This window comes from Homo sapiens, chromosome 4, assembly GCF_000001405.40.
Source record: "Homo sapiens chromosome 4, GRCh38.p14 Primary Assembly".
NCBI classification, from domain to species: domain Eukaryota; kingdom Metazoa; phylum Chordata; class Mammalia; order Primates; family Hominidae; genus Homo; species Homo sapiens.
In genome coordinates, this window is record NC_000004.12 from 13,876,961 (window position 1) to 13,895,422 (window position 18,462).

The following is an 18,462-nucleotide window of genomic DNA, read 5'->3' on the forward strand; positions in this document are numbered from 1 at the left end:
GTGTGATCTATAGCAGATGCTCTTGAACTCCTTAAATAGTTGATGAATGAAACGAGCGGGAACATCAGGGTGGATGTGTGAGTGTTGCGGGATAGTCGGGGGTGAGCACTTGAAATAGGCCTTCTGGCTGGCCCCAGATGTTAACCAAATTCACATGGTTAATGAGTGTCAGGGCTCAGACCTGGGTAAAAGTCCACAACTCTTCCCTTTAGAACGCCATTCTGCTTCTTTCTGTGTCTTTAAAGCACAGTGAAATCCCAACAGAAGTCAAAATCATTTCAGCCAAATCATTACAGATAATGCGCACATCTACTGATCATGGAGCATCTCTGGAGCACGATAATGTACAAAGAACATTGAAGGCCTAACATTTAATCCCAGCTCTAACATTTAAGCGACCTTCCAGGTCAATGCTGTCCAAAAGAACTTCCTGAGACAATGTGAATATTCTGATCTACACTGTCCAATGTAGTAGTCACTAGCCATGTGTGGCTAATGAGCATTTGAAGGGTGACTGGGGTAAGACTGAAAAACCGAATTTTTAATCTTATACAATTGTAATAAATGTAAATTTAGATAACTACATTCCAGCCTAGTGATTTTTTAAAAGTTATTTTCTCAATTTTGTAGAACTGATCAGAGATTATGCAGACCCCCAGCAGGGATGACTCTTGGGGGCAGTTCTCAGAACCCCTCTCTACCAGGGTCTCCTCTGAAGCAGTAGCACATGATTCTGCTGGAACCTTCCTAGCAACAGTTCTGAAGCTTCGAGCAGTCTCCAAACTACATAAGAAAAGCAGACGGAATATTTAGTGCAGTTGCTGGAGCCATAAAAGAAAAAAATTAACCAAACTTATTAGGCTCCCTGTTTCTTTTCATCCATAAAGCGAGCAATTGGCAATAAATGCCATTCTGCTTTTGAGCAGATGAACAGCCCAGTTGTGATAAATTCACCAGCATTTTCTGGAGGAAATATATTTTACTCCAGACAGTTTTAGTAGCGAAACTATATTTTTCAAAGGAGTTGTGAGGACACTTCAGTGAGGGTTAAACTTTTTAAACCAGTGTGAGGGCTGGGCTGTGGGAGACCCAGCACTCTTGGGGTTTATTTCAAAATCAGCGGAGAGGCTCATTTTTTTGCAGCTCTTTCCCTCTCGTCAGCATGCTGGCAGAATCTCCATCTTTCACTGCCTCTATGTTTTTATTTGATCCTACATTTCATCCTGGGATTAGGGAGTGTACCTATATTACTTCTGGGTTTTTAGATAAGAAAAGTAAGGCTCAGAGGTAGTAACTAGTTTGCTTGAGGTCATATACCTGGTGGGTCAGGAATCTGGGATTTGAATCCTAATACTTTACCTTTCTAGTCTATTCATTCAATTTAGCTCTTGACTGGCAGAGAGAGTGTGAAGAAAGTGCAATGGCCTAGGAGGTAGAAAGCCTGAGTTTCAGCTATGGTTTTGAAACCAACAAGCTCAATCACCCTGGGCAAATCTTCTTCCTTTCACGTTATTTCTTATTCCCTACACAGTGGGTTCTGACTTGCCTCAGACTGACAGGTTTTCTGTGATGTGGGACTTTTAGCTCTAAAACCAGGAAAATCCCAAGCAAACTGGAAAGAGTTGGTCATCCCAGTTTTGGTCTTGAACAATTTTCATTCTCTACAGTCAAGTTCTTAAACTCCTGTGTTTTCTTCCCAGCATCTCCCCTTTACCGAGGTCCACTTGCTGATGGACACACAGAGTTATTTACGCCTCTGCATGTCCCAGGCAGCTCTCATCCTCTCCCCTTGCCATTCATTCCCATCCCTGCTTCTCCACCTGCGTTCCCTATTGGAGTCAGTGGCACTATTGTGCATCCCATTACCCAACTAGCCATTAGAAGTGGTCTTAGAATGTCTCTGCTCTCTCACCAACATCTTATTAGTCTGCAGATATTGCCATGAGTTCAGACCCTCATCATCTCTTGCTTGGACCATCACACCTGTCCTCAGGCTTTCAGTATTGTTCCCTTCCCCATTGGTTCCACCCATCATTTTATTTGATCAAGTAACCTCCGACTTTTTCAAGAGTCTACTTTTTTGATTGGGGGCACAGCTCTTGGCCGTGCCACTCCAACCCTGGCTCTCCAGTCCTCTCTAAAATTCGATTCACTGTTAATATCCATCAGTACATTCCTTTTCTGTGTAAAGTGGCCAGTGTCTGTTTTGGTTGCTGGCATCCGAGAACTCTAGTGAATATAGTATGCAGTGATGAGTGGTGAGGTTTGTTCAAAGAAGACCCAAAGCAGAATAAGGCTCAAGGTGGGAGACTAAAGTGAGAATTTGTCTTCTGAACGGACATCTGAAGACCAGGAAGAGACACGTGCTTGGCACAGCAGAGCTGAGAGTACTTAGTTGACTTGAGGAGGAAAGTGTCCTTTAGGCATTTCCACATATACACAGCTGGAGTGGTGGCGAGTATTCACACAGGAGTTTTGAGTCAGGTAAGCTACTGACCTGAGCTTTGCTCCTGGTAGGTTGATGCTTTATGTTTATTCAATTAAACAGCTCTTTGGCTAGTCAACTAACTTCCCTAGCCTTCACTTCCCAAATGGCACTGAGAAACTGATAGGTATGAAGGACCTACCCTTTGTGGTGTGAAGTGAGAATTCCTATGTAGAATCAGGCTGCAGTAATTTCTGCATCCTGAGGGTCAAAGAGGGCAGTGACAGAAATCATGCTTTTTATTATTCAATGGGCCTTTGATCATAAAAGGTAAGGCCTCTGGGCCTACTTCGGAATGAATGAAGAGATTAATTAATTTTAGGGGATCTAAAATTGTCCTTTGTAATAAATAATACAATCTTTTAGGTTCTTCCTGGGGATCTTAGAAACTTGGAGAATAGGTGCCAGTGAGCTGGGTGAGGATAATGGTTGGAACCTGATTATTGGGGTTTGGGGCCAGTGGTGTGAGAATCTGTTGACAGAATGCAGATCCCAGCAACATAACAGCAGGTGCGTGTCCAGGAGAGAGATGGCTTGGGAGGGCTTGACTGATGAACCACAGAAGCAGCAATGTCTGAGACTGAGTTTCTTTTCTATCTTATGCTGTAATTTTTTTTTTCTGGTTCCTAAGCTTTCAGGAAAATCTGTCTCACATAAAAGCGTTGTGTTTGAGTGCTTTGAGGAATGAAGGGGAGAGGGCTCTGTCCATGCTTGGGGTAAAGACATACAGCGACAGGACAGGAATTAGGCAGAAGGGGCATAAATGAGATTCCCAGATAGGAACCAGAGAGGAGGCGTTTGGAATACGAGGTGAGAGGCTACCATCAGGAGTCTACACACACGAGAAATTCCATATCACCCAATACAGTCCAGACATATTCAGGAGGGGTCTTTCTTCCCTGCAGAATGCAGGATGGGGACTTGAGTAATCTAAAAATTAGAGGAAACTGTGAGTTTACAAGGAGGAAATTTAAGTTACATTCATGCCAGGCAGTTTACTGATCTATTTACAAAAGGTGTATTGAGTTCCCACTATGTGTCAGATACTTTTCATATATTACTTCATGGGATCCTAGCCTAGCAGGTAAGGTTGAGTGTTATGATGAACACCTGACAGATGAGGAAGCTGAGCCTTTGTGAGATGGGGCATTAATCCTGGTCTTGCCTCCTCACTGGTGAATGGATGGATCATTTTTGATAATATGTGAAAAGTTGCTTGGTTGCTGCTAGGCCCTGGGAAAATGCAAGGATTTATTGCCATTTTTAGATTTTCCAAATAAGGAACCAGAGCAGAGAGAAGAATGGCAAGGGAATTGTGGCCTCTACTTGGCCCAGTCAGTTGGAGTGTTAGTACCACAGGACTCCAAAGCTCATCCTACTGCTTCTTCACTGCAGCTGGCTCCAATTGTATTAAGTGCTTTACAGGCACTTTTATTGGGTGGGCCTTGGCTAGTGTGGTTTTCATTTGCAGCTGAAATGCTTGAGGCTTAGAGGTGGTCCATCCAGACCCTTCTGCTTTGTATAGGCTGAATTGCATCCTCAAAAAAGATACACTGAAGTCCTAACCCTTGTTATCTGTGAATGTGACCTTACTTGGAAATAGGGTCTTTGCAGACATAATTGGGTTAAGAAAGATCATTAGGGTGGGCCCCAATCTAATATGGCTGGTGTCCTTTTAAAAAGAAGAGACAGAGACACACAGGGAGGATTCTGGGTGATAACAGAGGCAGAGATTGGGGTGATGCAGCTGCAAGCCAGGGAGCACCAAGGCTTGCTGGCCCCAGTCAGAAGCTGGAAGAGGCAAGGCAGGATTCTATCCGAGTTTACAAAGGAGCATGACCTTGCTGACATCTTGATTTTGGACTTTTACTCTCCAGAACTGGGAGAGAATAACTTCTGTTGTTTTAAGCCATTCAGTTTGTGTATTTTGTCACAGTAGCCCCAGGAAACTAATATACTCTACGAAATCACCATAGGATGAAGTGCTCAGCTCTTGGATCTCTCATGCATGCTCTGGAAAAATCATTCTTATTCATTCATTCATTCATTCATTCATGTGCATGGCTGTTCTGGGCATTTTATAAGAAATACAAACGAATTCATGTTATCAAGTTAACTTCAATCTGGGGAAACAAGAAATTTGCAGCAAGAGGTAGATTAAATACTGTGGCAAACAGAATGAGTCTCTGGGCCAGTCCTTAGCACTTGGTGGGTGTTCGGTATCACAAGGTGTTATTGTGAGTAACAACAGGTGAAGTGGTGGACCTATTACAGACAGTAGAATCATACTGGTTGTGTGAGGGTGTCATCCTCTCCAACCTCTACTCACTGCCTCTCTTAGAGAGTCTCCCTCCTCTCTCACTCCAGTGTTCTAACACATTCTCCTATTTATTTTCTTCATGGCTTGTAACACTCCCTGAAATGATCCTATGTATTTATTTGCTTATTTACAGTAGGCCTTCTCCACCTTGGCACTGTTGACATTTTGGACCAGACAATTCTTTGTGGTTGGGGCTGTCCTGTGAGTTGTAGAAAGTTTCACAGCATCTTTGGGCTCTACCCACTAGATGCCAGCAGCACTCCTCCCAGGCATAACAATAAAATATGTTTCCAGACTTCGACAAATGTTCCCTGGGGGGAAGAATTACACTGTTTGAGAGGCACTGATTTTAGGCCTGAGTCTTGAAGCAGGGGTTGTCTATCTTGTTCTCTTTTGTCTCCCCCGCGCCTGGAATAGTGTGCTTACACAGTGTCACTAAGTAAATGTACGTTGGCAAGTAGACTGAAGAGCTACTGCAGAGCTAAGTTTGCTGTTTTGTAGGAACTCAGAAGAGAAGTACCCCATCTCTGGTTGGAAAACACTCCAGGAGAGGCAGCTTCAAGGAGATGGCATGTGGATGGAAATGTTTAGCAAGAGCAAGCTTTATCCTGGTCAGGGGCAGTCAGTGGGCATTCTAGGCAGAGGGAGTGGCCCTGGAAAAGGGGAGAAGGTAAGATGGGCTATGGGATGTTGGTGTAATGTTGTGGTGGTGAGGCTGGGGGTACGAGGACCAGCTCAGAGAGGCTGCAGGGACATTGGACGGAGTCCTAAGGGCCTGGAAGAAGGCAGTGGCAAAGAGATAGAGTTCCACTTGGAGACGTCTGATGAGTAAGAGAAAGTTACTCTGGAGTCATTAATATGCCTGATTATTCCCTTGATTTGTTCTCTTCACTGACAGATTAGTGTTTCATGAAATGCTATTACCCCTATAGCTCATATTTCTCTGGATTTACTTTTACTCAGCAACTATCACTTCTGATTATTCTTACATTAATTGTACATAACACTGTGTTGCTTTAAATATATTATTTTAAAACATTTTGTTTTGCAATTCACTTTACGGTTAGAAATTCTGTAGACAGTGGTCATAAATCTCCCTTGAAAGAAAATGGAAGTTGTCTGTTTTAATTTTCTATCAATTCCTTACTGCTTGGGAAAAAATAATAGGGGACAGAAAAAAAAAAAAAAACCCACCAAAACCCTTTTTTAAGCACTTGCAATTGTCCATGTCTTATTTCTACTAGTGGGTTGCTGTTTTTAAGCTGAATAGATTACTTTCAAAATGCATGTGCTTGAGATTAGGGTTTGAAGATGTTTTGAATAGAAATAGCAATTTAATTTTGAGATGTGACCAAAAAGATGGCAGCAATGAGATTGAAGAAATAGCACAGACTCTGGATCAAACAGATTAGCTAGAATTCTGGCTCCTGTGCTTACTGGTTCTGTGATCCTGAGCAAGTCTTATTTATTTATTTTGTTTTACCTATACAATGGCAGGGGAGTGTAACTGGCCACCCCTCAAACTTAGTGCCATAAAAGATCAACAACGATCAGTTATTTTGTACACAATTATTTTCTTTTGGGCAGGGCTCAATGGACATGGCTTGTTTCTGCTTCTCATGGCAACAGAAATAGTCATGAGATTGGAGCTGGAGGATGCATTTCCAAGGTGACTTGATCAACCTAGCTGGTGAGTTGATGCTGACTGTTGGCAGGGAGTTCAGTGGAGTCTGACAACCAGAATGCCTCCGTGTGGCCACCCCAGCTTGGTGGTCTCAGAGTAGTTGTGTTACCGGTGGAGGGTGTCCAGGTTCTTGGCATTTTGAACAAAGAATTGGACAAAATGCACAAACAAAGCAATGAAAAAAAGCGTAGATTTACTGAAATGAAAGAACACTACAGAGAGTGGGAGCAGGCTTGAGCAAGTGGCTCAAGAGCCCTGGTTACAGACTTTTTTGGTATTTAAATACCCTCTAGAAGTTTCCCATTGGTTACTTGGTCTACACCCTATGTAAACGAAGTAGTGGCCTGTGATCAGTCTGATTGGTTATGGAAAGCCATCCATCAGAGGCTGAAGTGAAGTTACAAAGTTATTCCCTATGCAAACGTCTGATTGGCTGCTGAAAGTGACCAATCAGAGGCTGAAGTAAAGTTACAAAGTTATACTCCTCTGCGAATGAAGACTTGGCCTGCAATCAGTCTGATTCGTTGCAGGAGGGGACCGATCAGAGGTACTTTCAATTTTTCATCAGCCAGGCAGAAAAAGTGCGGTGGCAGTGAGTTGCAAAGGGAGTAGCCTCTGGTGGTTTAGTTACTTGTGCATGAAAAGTTGGGATTTTCCTTTTGATTTAGTTCTAGGAAGTCAGCATGAATTGGCCTTAGGTTTCCTGCCTCCAGACCTTACTGTCCTGCCTTAGTTGGACCACTTACATGGTCTAGCTTTTCCCAGAATAAGAGTTCCATAAAAACTTATCAGAAGCTATATGGCTTTTTATGACTTAACCTCAGAAATCAAATAGCAACAGTTCTAACATATTCTTTAAAAGACAAAACAAAACAAAAACTTAAAAAAAGTCAAAAACAGCCAGTTTCAATTTTTTTTTGGAGGTGGGGTCACACTCTGGTCCATGCTAGAGTGCAGTGAAGTGATCCTAGCTCACTGCAGTCTCAAACTGGGCTGCATGATCCTCCCTTCTCAGCCTCCTGAGTAGCTGGGAACACAGACATGCACCACCACACCTGGCTAATTTTTTTTTTAGAAGGCAGATACTAGTGACATCAATAGAAAAGTGACTAAATAAACCATAGTACATATCTATACTAAAAGAAACACACATACATAATAAAAAGACACACAAGCTTTTAACAGGGATTACTTCTGGGGAGTACAGCTGAGAAATCACCTTAGGACTTTAGTTTTAATTTTTAACCATGACTACATATTACATTCATAATAAAGACAAAAAATGTAAGAGATAAACTTATATGGAAAGGAGTCCAAGAGATAGAAAGGAGTCCAAGAGATAGAGGGAAGATAGAAAAGCAAAATATACCATTCAAAAGTAGAGATGAAGGTCTCATTATGTTTCCTAGGCTGGTCTTGAACTTCTGGCCTCAAGTGATCCTCCCACCTTGGCCTCCCAAAATGCTGGGATTATAGGTGTGAGCTGCTGTTCCCAGCCATATTCTATTTTTCCATTTTAATTTTATTTTTCTTTCTTATTTGTAATCTCCATTTTATAGATGAAACTGGCATATTCTATTGATAGAAACAGTCACCAGCCTTCCCAGATTTAAGAGCTGGGATGTAGACACTACTTCTTGATGTGACTAGGGCATGGTCACATTGCAGGAGAGCATGTGAGATGAGAGATGTTGTTGGGCCTTCCTGAGAAAACAAAGTCGGCTATGAGGATTATGATAAAGTACAGTGCATTATATAGATTCTGTCCTATATTAAATGCTTAGCAAATGGTTACTATATCTATTAATTATAATTAAGAGTGCTACTTAAATCAATTTTAAGTTAGGATTACTTCTGTCTTTGAAGTTCAAACTCTTTCTTTTGTACTAAAAGGCTCCTCATTCATCCTGTTATACCCAGATACTTAGAAGTCATCCCTGATACCTCCCTCTGCCTCACACCCCTTTGTTCCACAACATATATTTGATTCAGCACCAAGAGTCATTGAACCTGCCTTTCAGAAAGCTCCCAAACCTGTCTCTTTCCTCCAGCTTCACAGCCTCGACCCTAGCCTAAGACACTGCCATCTTTGAACTGCAATATTTGTTTCTTTGCCCCCACCTTGTCCTTTCTCCCATCACTTCTCCACATTATAGCATCTACTTAAAAGCAAATCTGGTCCTTTAATCACGACATCATAAAACACACCGATCGCTTCTGACTCTCGTTAGGATTAAGACTAAAATCTTAAGAGGACCTACATGGAGGGGTCTGGCTCCCCTCTGTCTCTCAACCTCATCTTGTATGATAGTTCACCTGCAGCCCCTCCCTCTAGGCTTCTGCCAGGCTGGAACTCTTTCACTTCCTGGAACTCCTGGACAGAACTCCATTTCCTTTTGCCACAGAACCCTTCCACATTCTATTGCCTCAGCCCAGATGCTGTTTATCCTGAGCTCTACAGCTAGACCAGTTACTCCTATTCATTGCTTTTTTGGCTTTAATACTTAACATAGGATGGTGTGGGCTGAACTATCAGAAACCAGACTTAAACCGGCTTATATAAGAATATGCACTATCTGACATAACAGTAAGCCCAGGGGTAGAAGGACCACCGAGTTGGTTGTTTCAGTGGCTCAGCAATGTCACTCACTGAATTGTTTCTGTAACCAAATTCTTTGGGTTTTTCCATGATTTGTTCCCTACATTACCTTCAGCCTAAAGCAGGTAATCCTCCTGCTCACAATATGGCTGCCAGCAGCAATGGAGCCAATATGCACCCGTGTTTCCATCTCCTTCTACCATGGAATATAAATATAAATGTGTTACTTCAGTATAATTGGACCAACATGGTTCATGTGCCCAACCTATCCTCAGATGCATAAATTGACAGGGAAGTGTCATGGTGTGATTGGCTTAGACTAATCAGAATTCACCAGTAGAGGTGTAAAGGTATTAGTGTCTCCTGAGTCATATGATAATGTGGAGAGGAAATGGACTTCTAAATAAAATCTAGGTAATATTAGGAAGGAGAGAGTGGGAAATGGATGCTTAGAAGGAAGAAATAGTGCCTACTAAAATAGCTATCTGCTTCTTGGTAGCAGTTGCCTTAAGTTGTGATTTTTAAAACATTTTAATTGTGGTACAATTAAATGTTACATGGTAAAACACATATAGCATAAAATTTACCATCTTAGCTATTTTTAAGTGTACAATGCAGTGACATTAAGTACATTCACATGATTGTGCCACCATCACCCCCACCATTCATACCTATGGAAGGCAGGGCATCTTGTAAAACCGAAACTCTGTATTTACTAAACAATGTTCCTACTCCTCCCCAGCCCCTGGTCACGACCATTCTACTTTCTGTCTTGATGAGCTTGACTACTCTAAACACTTGGTATAAGTGGAATCATACAGTGTTTGTCCTTTTGTGACTGACTTATTTCACTTGGCATAATGTACCCAAAGTTCATCCATATTGTAGCATATGTCAGAGTGTACTTCTCTTTTAAGGCAAAATAATATTCCATTGTATGTTATACACATTCCATGTATGTTATACCACGTTTTGTTTATCCTTTCATCTGTGGATGAACACTCGGGTTCCTTCTGCTTTTGGCTATTGGGAATAATGCTGCTATGGACCTAGGTTGTAATTTATAGGTATTCCTGGGTGTTTACAATATATGTTCTGTTTTCCTAGGTCTCCCCATGCTGTGAGCTCCACCAGGCAGTAGCTGTACCTTTTGTTTGTCCTCAGCAGTGCCTCTGTAAACCCAAGACAATGTCCAGCAGAGTGTAGACACTCAAATATTTGTTGATGGAGTGAACAAACATTTAATTTGGGATGAATTTCAAATAACCTTACTTCTCTATGATCATATTTTCTTTCCTTAAAAAACCTCATAATTATGTGGAAATATATATGAATGTATAACTGGGAGCATACTCAGAAAAAAAAGAAGTTTTGCTAAACCACAATACTCTAACCAGATGCTATTTACCTGTTTTTGATCATTTGCAGCAATCATACTTTGATTTTTACGGTTGAGTAGGATCATATAGTTTAGGAGTTTATAATGAATTTAAACTCAGAATTTTGTGAAGATGATACAGGGACTGGAATGGAAATTCTACATTTTGTTTTACTTTAACTTTCAGCACAAGGGCCCTCTAGTTCTGATGTCAACTCTGAGCCCTCTTCATTAGGACACTGGGAAGAAACTGTAGCCAGTTCCATGAAGAAAACCATTGACTCGGAGTGGTTTCTTCTTCACTTTGAGCCAAGTTCAGTAGTACTTTTGTCTAATGCGATTCATTCTGAGGTTGGTTAATGTTTGAAAAATTATTATGGAAAATTTCAAACATATAAAAAAGTAGAGATAATAGTATAGTAAATTCCCATATATCCATAATCCAATTCCAACAATTACCAATTCAGGGCCAATATTATATTATCTGCATCTCCATCCATTTCCTCCTTCTCCCTGGATTATTTAGGAGCAACTTCTAGACATTATATCATTTAATCTATATGAATTTCACCATGTATTTTATAGGTAAGTACTATTTATGGAAATATAATAACAATACTATTTTCATATCTAAATAATTAAAAATAATTACTTATAATAATGAAATATTGAGTCAATGTTCAAATTTTCCTAATTATTTTATATTTTTAGTAGTTTTTATCAGTAGCCAAATAAGTTTTATATATTGCAATTGTTGGATGTACCTCCAGTCTTTTAAAATCTCTTCTCCTTTTCCCTCTATTTTTTTTTATATTTCCCCTTGCAACTTATTCGTTGAAAAAAAAAAAACCAAAAAAACAAAAAATGACTCATTTGGCCTGCATTCTTTCCCACACTCTGGATTTTGCTGATTGCATGCTTGTGGCATTGTTTAACATGTTCCTCTGCAACTCTATTTCCTGCAAGTTGGTAGTTCAGTCTTGAAGCTTGATAGATTCAGATTGAAGATCTTAGCAAGAATATCTCAATCTTTAGATGATGGTTTATTTTTCCATTGTGTCTAATGGACTCCTTTTTGTGATGATAGTAGCCATTCATGGACATTCCTTGATCCATTATTTTACTAAAGTTCACAAAATGTGAGTTTCTAATTTTATCATTTTTTTTTTTTTGAAGGAGTTTCTCTCTTGTTGCCCAGGCTGGAGTGCAACAGCACAATCTTGGCTCACCGCAACTTCCGACTCCTGGGTTCGTGATTCTCCTGCCTCAGTCTTCCGAGTAGCTGGAACTACGGGCATGCACCATCACACCTGGCTAATTTTGTGTTTTTAGTAGAGACAGGGTTTCTCCATGTTGGTCAGGCTGGTCTCGAACTCCTGACCTCAGGTGATCGGAGGTCACCTCGGCCTCCCAAAATGCTGGGATTACAGCCTGAGCCATGGTGCCCGCTGATTTTTCTTAAAGCTGGAATGCTTCTGTGAAGACAACCCCCCTCAATAGTCCATTGACTACCCTCAGGTATACTTGGTATAGAAAAGACAGAATTAATGCTTATGTTTTACTTTTATTTACCAATTTTTAAACCTTTAAAAGTTACAATGAGATTTTTTCCCTACCCTTTTCCCTTTATTCTTTCATTTTTTCTTTCTTCTTTTTTCTTCTTTCTTTCCTTCCATCTTTGACCTTCTCTCTCCTCTCTTTCTTTCTCATTATTAGCTCATTCAAACTATTATTAACTATATTTATAACAAAAACATCTTAATGCATTTAACTACATTTAACTAATAATTTAAATGTATTTGATGGGCTTCAGTAGGATTTGTAACTTTTAAATTTTAGAACACTTGTTTCTATTTGAAGAAAATCCTTATATACCACTCCTTGAGTAACACTTTCTTTAAATGTCAATTCTTTGTCAACTGGTTTTTATCCAGACTGTCCCTGCAATATGCTAATGAAGATACACAGGCACAAATCTGAATGAGGCTTCCAATTAAGCAAAAGCTTTTCTGACAAAAAGAAAGACAGATTCAGTTGATTTCATGCTTTCTGCCCTTTATCTTTCTTCTTCCTACTTGGCATGTGAATGCAATGGCTAGAGGGGTAACAGAGATGATACCGCAAAGAGGATGAACACTTAGATACTCCCTCAGATGGTGGAATAGAAATTGAAAGGAACCCAGTTCCTTGATGATTCCCTTCAAGAATTGTTCCATCTCAAGATTACCCAAATTCTACTTATTTAAGAAAACCCCCTAGTTTTTTAAAGACACTATTTATTAGCATTTTTGATACTTGCAGCCACATGTCTTCACTAATATATTTGTCCAAAGTCATGTTCACAATAAGTGAGAGAGGTTGGTTTTAAATTTAGGCTTCTTAATATCTAAAACTTGTGATTTTACTAAATAATGTAAAGAACCATGGGCAAGGAATACAACTGGATACTTCTGTATAGAGAACCCACTCATTAAGTCTTTAATGACCCTCAGATATGCTTTGTACAGAGAAGGCGGCATAAATGGCTGATTGGTAAGCCAGCTTCCCCATGTCCAAGGCTGCATGGTTCCTTGACTAAGAGCCCAGGATTACCCTACATTATCAGCATCTCCTCAGGCAGGGAATGAGATGCTTCTGGCCTGGTGTAATGAGCTGATGAAATATACAAACTGTCTCCTGCTTCTTGTCAAATGATTTCCAACCTTTCTATAGCAAGGTGTCCTTTTGTTTTTTATTAACTTTGCAAAGTACAACATGTTTTGAAAGATTTTTGTCTAAAAAACTACACTTAACATAAATATTGAATCACTTTCCCCTCTACATTTAATCAAATGCACATATAGCCTCTAATCATAGTTTCCGATCTCCGTGTCCAGGGTTAGCTCCCTGAGTTGGTTCTAATTTCAGTAAAAAATAAGAATACTTTGGTTCACATGTGTATCCTCAATGTCTGTTAGTATTTTAAGGATAATAGTAATGTCCCATAGATTCCTGGGTTGTCTTTGAAGCCTCCTGTGAGTCTGGGGACTCTGCTGGGGACCCAGGCTGGGCATACCTGCTCTAGAGTTTGATGGTCCATATTCCAGGAAGCTGGGTGGTTGTCCCACAAGAAAAGGTTATAGAAGAGGCTTCTAGGCAGAAGACAGGGTTGATTCTGCTGTGGATTCCTCTTAGTGCCCCATGTTACTTTTTAGCGAGGCTGACCCCATGATAGGCTGATCTTTGTTGTGCCAGGCCTATTTGGCTCCTCATGCTCACACCTCCCACTTGGACTCAAGCCAGGCCTGGACCCTGAAAACCCAATCATGGAGCATTTTATGAGCCCCATCTGCAAAGGTAAGTGGGATCTAGAATTGGTCGTGCTTAGGTATCCAACCTGCCCACTTTGTGCCCTGTGGATTGCTCTGTAGCTTTCCCCTCCTGCCCTTCTTATGCTTATCATGTTCATGATGGTTGAGTTCTGTTGGAAAAACACTCACTGAGCTCCTGCCATGATCCAGCATAGCACTAGATGCCAGTCTATAAAGATGAGTAAGTTCCCATGTTTATCATCGAACTTCTGCCTTGATTTCTGGTTGGTAATCAGGTTTTCCTCATTTAAAACTTAATGTAGAAGGATTTATGAGACATGACATAGTTCATGCCAGCCTCCCCCTACCTTCCACTTGAGTTAGACCCCTCTTGTTCTACCCCCCACTGCTGATGGGATCCTGATACAGCCCAGGTAGATTATCTACCATCTCAACATTGTAGATCCTGCCTTTCTGCAGGATGGGGCCCTGTTGCCACATCCTTCCCACCAGATCGAGTTCCTATGTTTCCCTCTCCTATGTGACTGTCTCTCCCATTAAACTATGCACTTCTAGAGGGCAGGGGTATCCCAGCACCATGCTCAGAGCACAGTGAGTAGTAGGTACTGGTAACTATTTGTTGAATGATGAATGGTGAGTGCTGCATGCAGAGGGGAGATGAGAAGCTAGGACCCTGAGAAGTCTGGAAATGGTGTAGGTTGGCCACTGTAGATGACCGTGATGTCACCTGGGGTGGTGATATGGGATGAAGGGAAGACTGTGGACCAGATACCACTGTCATCATCAGACTATCATGAGAGTGAGTACTAATCAGGTGGTGGTTAGGGAAAGCAGCGGCGGGGTGGAGGTCCGTGTAGTTGGAGGACCTGAGACTCAAGAGGGAGAGAAGCTTTGACATAGGCAGCTGGGACTGGTGCTGGGGGCCAGCATGCTGAGAGCAACTCTGAGGAACATGGAAGGACAGATTGAGAACAGGCTGACTCCACATGAGAGGACTGCAAAGGAATCAGGTTACCAGGGAAGAGCTGATTCTTAGTTAGGGCCAGGACATGGTGGGGAGTCTCAGGAGGAGGTTGGGGGTATATGGTATCAGTGAATCACATGGCGAAGGTTGTATGGATGGGCGCCTTAGCTAGATGAGACCCCAGGATGGGTCTCATGCATTCTCCTCCTCCACTGAGTCTCCGCTTGCCTCATGTGAGGGTTGATGGCTTTGGCTTTACTCCAACTTCCTGCATCTTCTCTGACTGTGTCCTGATTTTGACCATGAGCCTTGTTCTTGACAACTGCCTTGTCTCTGGTCCTGGACTCCTACCAGCCCTCCCTCCTCTGAGGAAACCAGACCTGAGCAGGCAGCTCCTGCAGCTTTTCACCTCGACTTATCTCCCCAGCCAGAACTTTTGCTTAATTTGCTTACTGACATTTCACACTGATGTGCGGGGACTCATCAATTGAGTTCCAAGCATATGCATGACTCACATGCATTTGAAGAGTATGTGGAGGAGGGAGGGAAAAAATGAGAGAGAGAGGATTTTAGTCATATAAGTCATCAAAGAGCCTACCAGGCTTGCTTTGGTTTTGTTTGTTTTAGAAAATGACTGGAGGCCATAATGTTTGAACTTTTTTATTGTGAAGTCTGCTGAGAATTCAAGCAGGGCCAACCCCAGATACTTCTCTTTCTTCAGTTCCTGAGACAGAAAGAATGAGTCTGAATCTTATTAAGCAGATCCGCAGGACTTGGATTGAAAGAAATATGAAAACACAATTTTGTGTTCAAGCCTGGGAAGGAAAAATAACTTCAGAGTGAGCCAGACATATTTTGGAATTCTTTCAGCATCTACACAGCAAGACCTACACAGCATAAGATTGTGAAAGTTTGTGTGTGTGTGTGTGTGTGTGTGTGTGTGAGAGAGAGAGAGAGAGAGAGAGAGAAAGAGAGAGAGAGAGAGTATGTGGTCATCTTCTGGCTGGCAAATTGGTTCCAAAATTTGTACAAGGAGACAATTTCTTTGCTACCAAACTGACTGGTAAAAACATATCACATAGCCTTTAAAGATGGAACTTACTTGTTATGAAATTGACACATTTGCTCACCCCTGATTCCTACCAGGAAAGTGCTTTCTCCCACTAGCAACTGAATCCTACTTGTTCTCAGTGTGTGGCCAGGATCTGCCCTGTTTCCTCCAGCTCACAGAGCATTCCCTCTCTCTTCAGAAACCCCACAGCCCTTATCGTCTCTGTCACTTAGTCAAACACAGGTTGCTATAGCAAAGTACTGTAAATTGGGTGGCTTATAAACAACAGAAACTTATTTCTCACAATTCTGGGGACTGGAAGTCTCAAATCAGGGTGACAGCATCATCAGGTTATGGTGAGGGTCTTCTTCCAGGTTGTAGATGGCTTGCTTCTCTCTGTGTCTTCGCATGGCAGAAAGAGGGTGAGAGGATTCTATCATCACCTGGAGGGTAAAGATTTCAACATATAAATTATAATAAACAGTCTATTTTCAGGTTGCTTCTGGCTTCCTCAAGCCTGACTTTCCTCATAGCTGTGATTTTCTTCATATTGCTTTCCCTTAAACACAAGTCAGGTCTGTCCTTTAATGTTCTATAATGTGGTTTATAAAACACTATTGAAGACTTGTGGAATGAGAAAGGAATGACAATGCAGATGAGTATTACCAGATACAGTTGCTCCTAGCATCCTCAGCTCTTGCCTGTCTTCCAGTTGTGATGCCCAGAGTAGCACCCGTATGGTTTGGCTGTGTCCCCACGCAAAATCTCATCTTGAATTATAATCCCCATAATTCCCACGTGTAAAGGGCAAGACCAGGTGGAGGTAATGGGATCCTGGGGGCAGTTTCTCCTATGCTGTTCTTATGATAGAGTCTCATGAGATCTGATGGTTTTATAAGCATCTGGCATTTTCTCCTGCTTGCACTCACTTCATCCTGTCACCCTGCGAAGAAGGTGCCTGCTTCTTCTTTGCCTTCTGCCATGATTGTAAGTTTCCTGAGGCCTCCCCAGCTATGTGGAACTGTGGGTCAATTAAACCTCTTTCCTTTATAAATTACGCAGTCTCAGGTATTTCTTCATAGCAGTGTGAGAACAGACTAATACAGCACCTGTAGAGGGAGTAGGCAAAATTAGTGCATTTCTCCTACCCTAGATTCAGGCCCTTGGCTTTCTAGATACCTTAAGGGAGAATAACCAAGGTTCCCTCTAAACCCTGGGCCTGGTCTGGCCACCCAGTCACAGATCTTACAGACACAACTGAATTTTTATTGTTTTAGATCTCTCTGTTTCAAAAGGGGCTCTTACTTTACATTTGTCTAATTAAAATGCCCTGTAAGTGTGTTTTCCTAAACAAGGCCTCTCTCTTCCCTCATAGAGGAATCTAAGCCACCTCCTTGGAAGAAAGAGAAGAATTGTTGGCAGCTTTCAAATGTCAGGGGCACGCTTCTAACTGTCAAGATTTCAAAACATGTGTACAAGTAGTTGCAGCTAGATCACCCCAGAGCACATTAACTATCTTCTCCTTCCCTCATCCTTATGTAGCTATTAACATTTTGCGTTAGTGTAGTACATTATTCTTAAAACTGATGAGCCAGTATTGGTATGATTATTAACTGAAATCTGTAGTTTTCATAAAGGTTCAGTTTTTGTGTTGTACAGTCCTATGGGCTTTGACCAATGCATATTTTCAACTATCCACCATTACAGTATATAGAACAATTTCATTGCCCTAAAAATCCCCTGTGCTCCACCTCTTCCTTGCTCTTAAATTCTGAAACCCCTAGCAACCTTTGATTTATTTGCTATCTATATAGTTTTGTCTTTTCCAGCATGTAATAGAGTTGCAATCATACAGTCTTTTCTGACTCGCTTCTTTTACCTAACAAATACTTTTGAGGTTCCTCCATGTCTTTTCATGGCTTGATAGCTCATTTCCTTTTATCACTGAATAATGTTCCATTATATGGATGTACCATGGTTTATTTATTCATTTGCCTGTTGGAGACAACTTGCAAGCTTCTAGTTTTTGGTAATTACAAATAAAACTGCTGTAAACATTCATGTACAAGTTTTTGTGTGGACATAAGCTTTCAGCTCATTTGGGTAAATACCCAGGAAACATGAGTCCTGGATTATATGGTAAGAGTATCTCATGTTTTGCAAGAAACTGCCAAATTGTCTTCAAAAGTGGCTATACCATTTTGCATTTCCACCAGCAATAAATAGCAATAAATGAGAGTTCATATTGCACCTTATTTGCATTTGGTATTTTAAATTTTAGCTATTCTTATAAATGTATAATAGGATCTTATGTGTTTGCTCCTAGTGTTTTAATTTGTAATTCCCTAATATGATTACTAAACCTATGCTTATTTGTCATTTGTACATTTTCTTTGGTAAGGTGTCTGTTCAGATCTTTTACCCCCTTTTTTTTTAAATTGGGTAGTTTGTTTTCTCATTCTTAAGATTTAAGAGTTCTTTGTATATTTTTGGCTACAAGGTGTTTATCAGATATGTGTTTTGTAAATATTTTCTCTAAGTCTGTGGCTCTTATTTCCATTCTCTTAACAATATATTTTGCAAAGCAGAAGTTTTAAATTTTAATTAAGTCAAATTTGTTCATTTTTCTCTTTCACAGATTGTGCTGCTCATGTTGTATCTAAAAATTCA

The 18,462-nt window shown here is 40.9% G+C and overlaps 2 long non-coding RNA genes across 2 annotated transcripts in view, besides 1 other annotated feature; both read left to right on the forward strand.

The window, feature by feature from the left end:
• The window catches only part of LINC01182 (long intergenic non-protein coding RNA 1182), a 276,050-nt gene that overhangs the window by 221,782 nt on the left and 35,806 nt on the right, over window positions 1-18,462 (forward strand). The gene's annotated exons all lie outside the window — the stretch shown is intronic.
• LOC107986182 (uncharacterized) overlaps window positions 1-18,462 on the forward strand; it is a 103,624-nt gene that overhangs the window by 44,086 nt on the left and 41,076 nt on the right. The gene's annotated exons all lie outside the window — the stretch shown is intronic.
• Window positions 14,837-16,036: an enhancer, noted in NCBI's record as "CDK7 strongly-dependent group 2 enhancer chr4:13893421-13894620 (GRCh37/hg19 assembly coordinates)". NCBI's record gives its function as "activates an origin of replication core promoter dependent on BRD2, BRD4, P300/CBP, MED14 and CDK7 cofactors, with strong dependence on CDK7, by STARR-seq in HCT116 cells {active_cell/tissue: HCT116}" and the evidence as "EXISTENCE:reporter gene assay evidence [ECO:0000049][PMID:35650434]".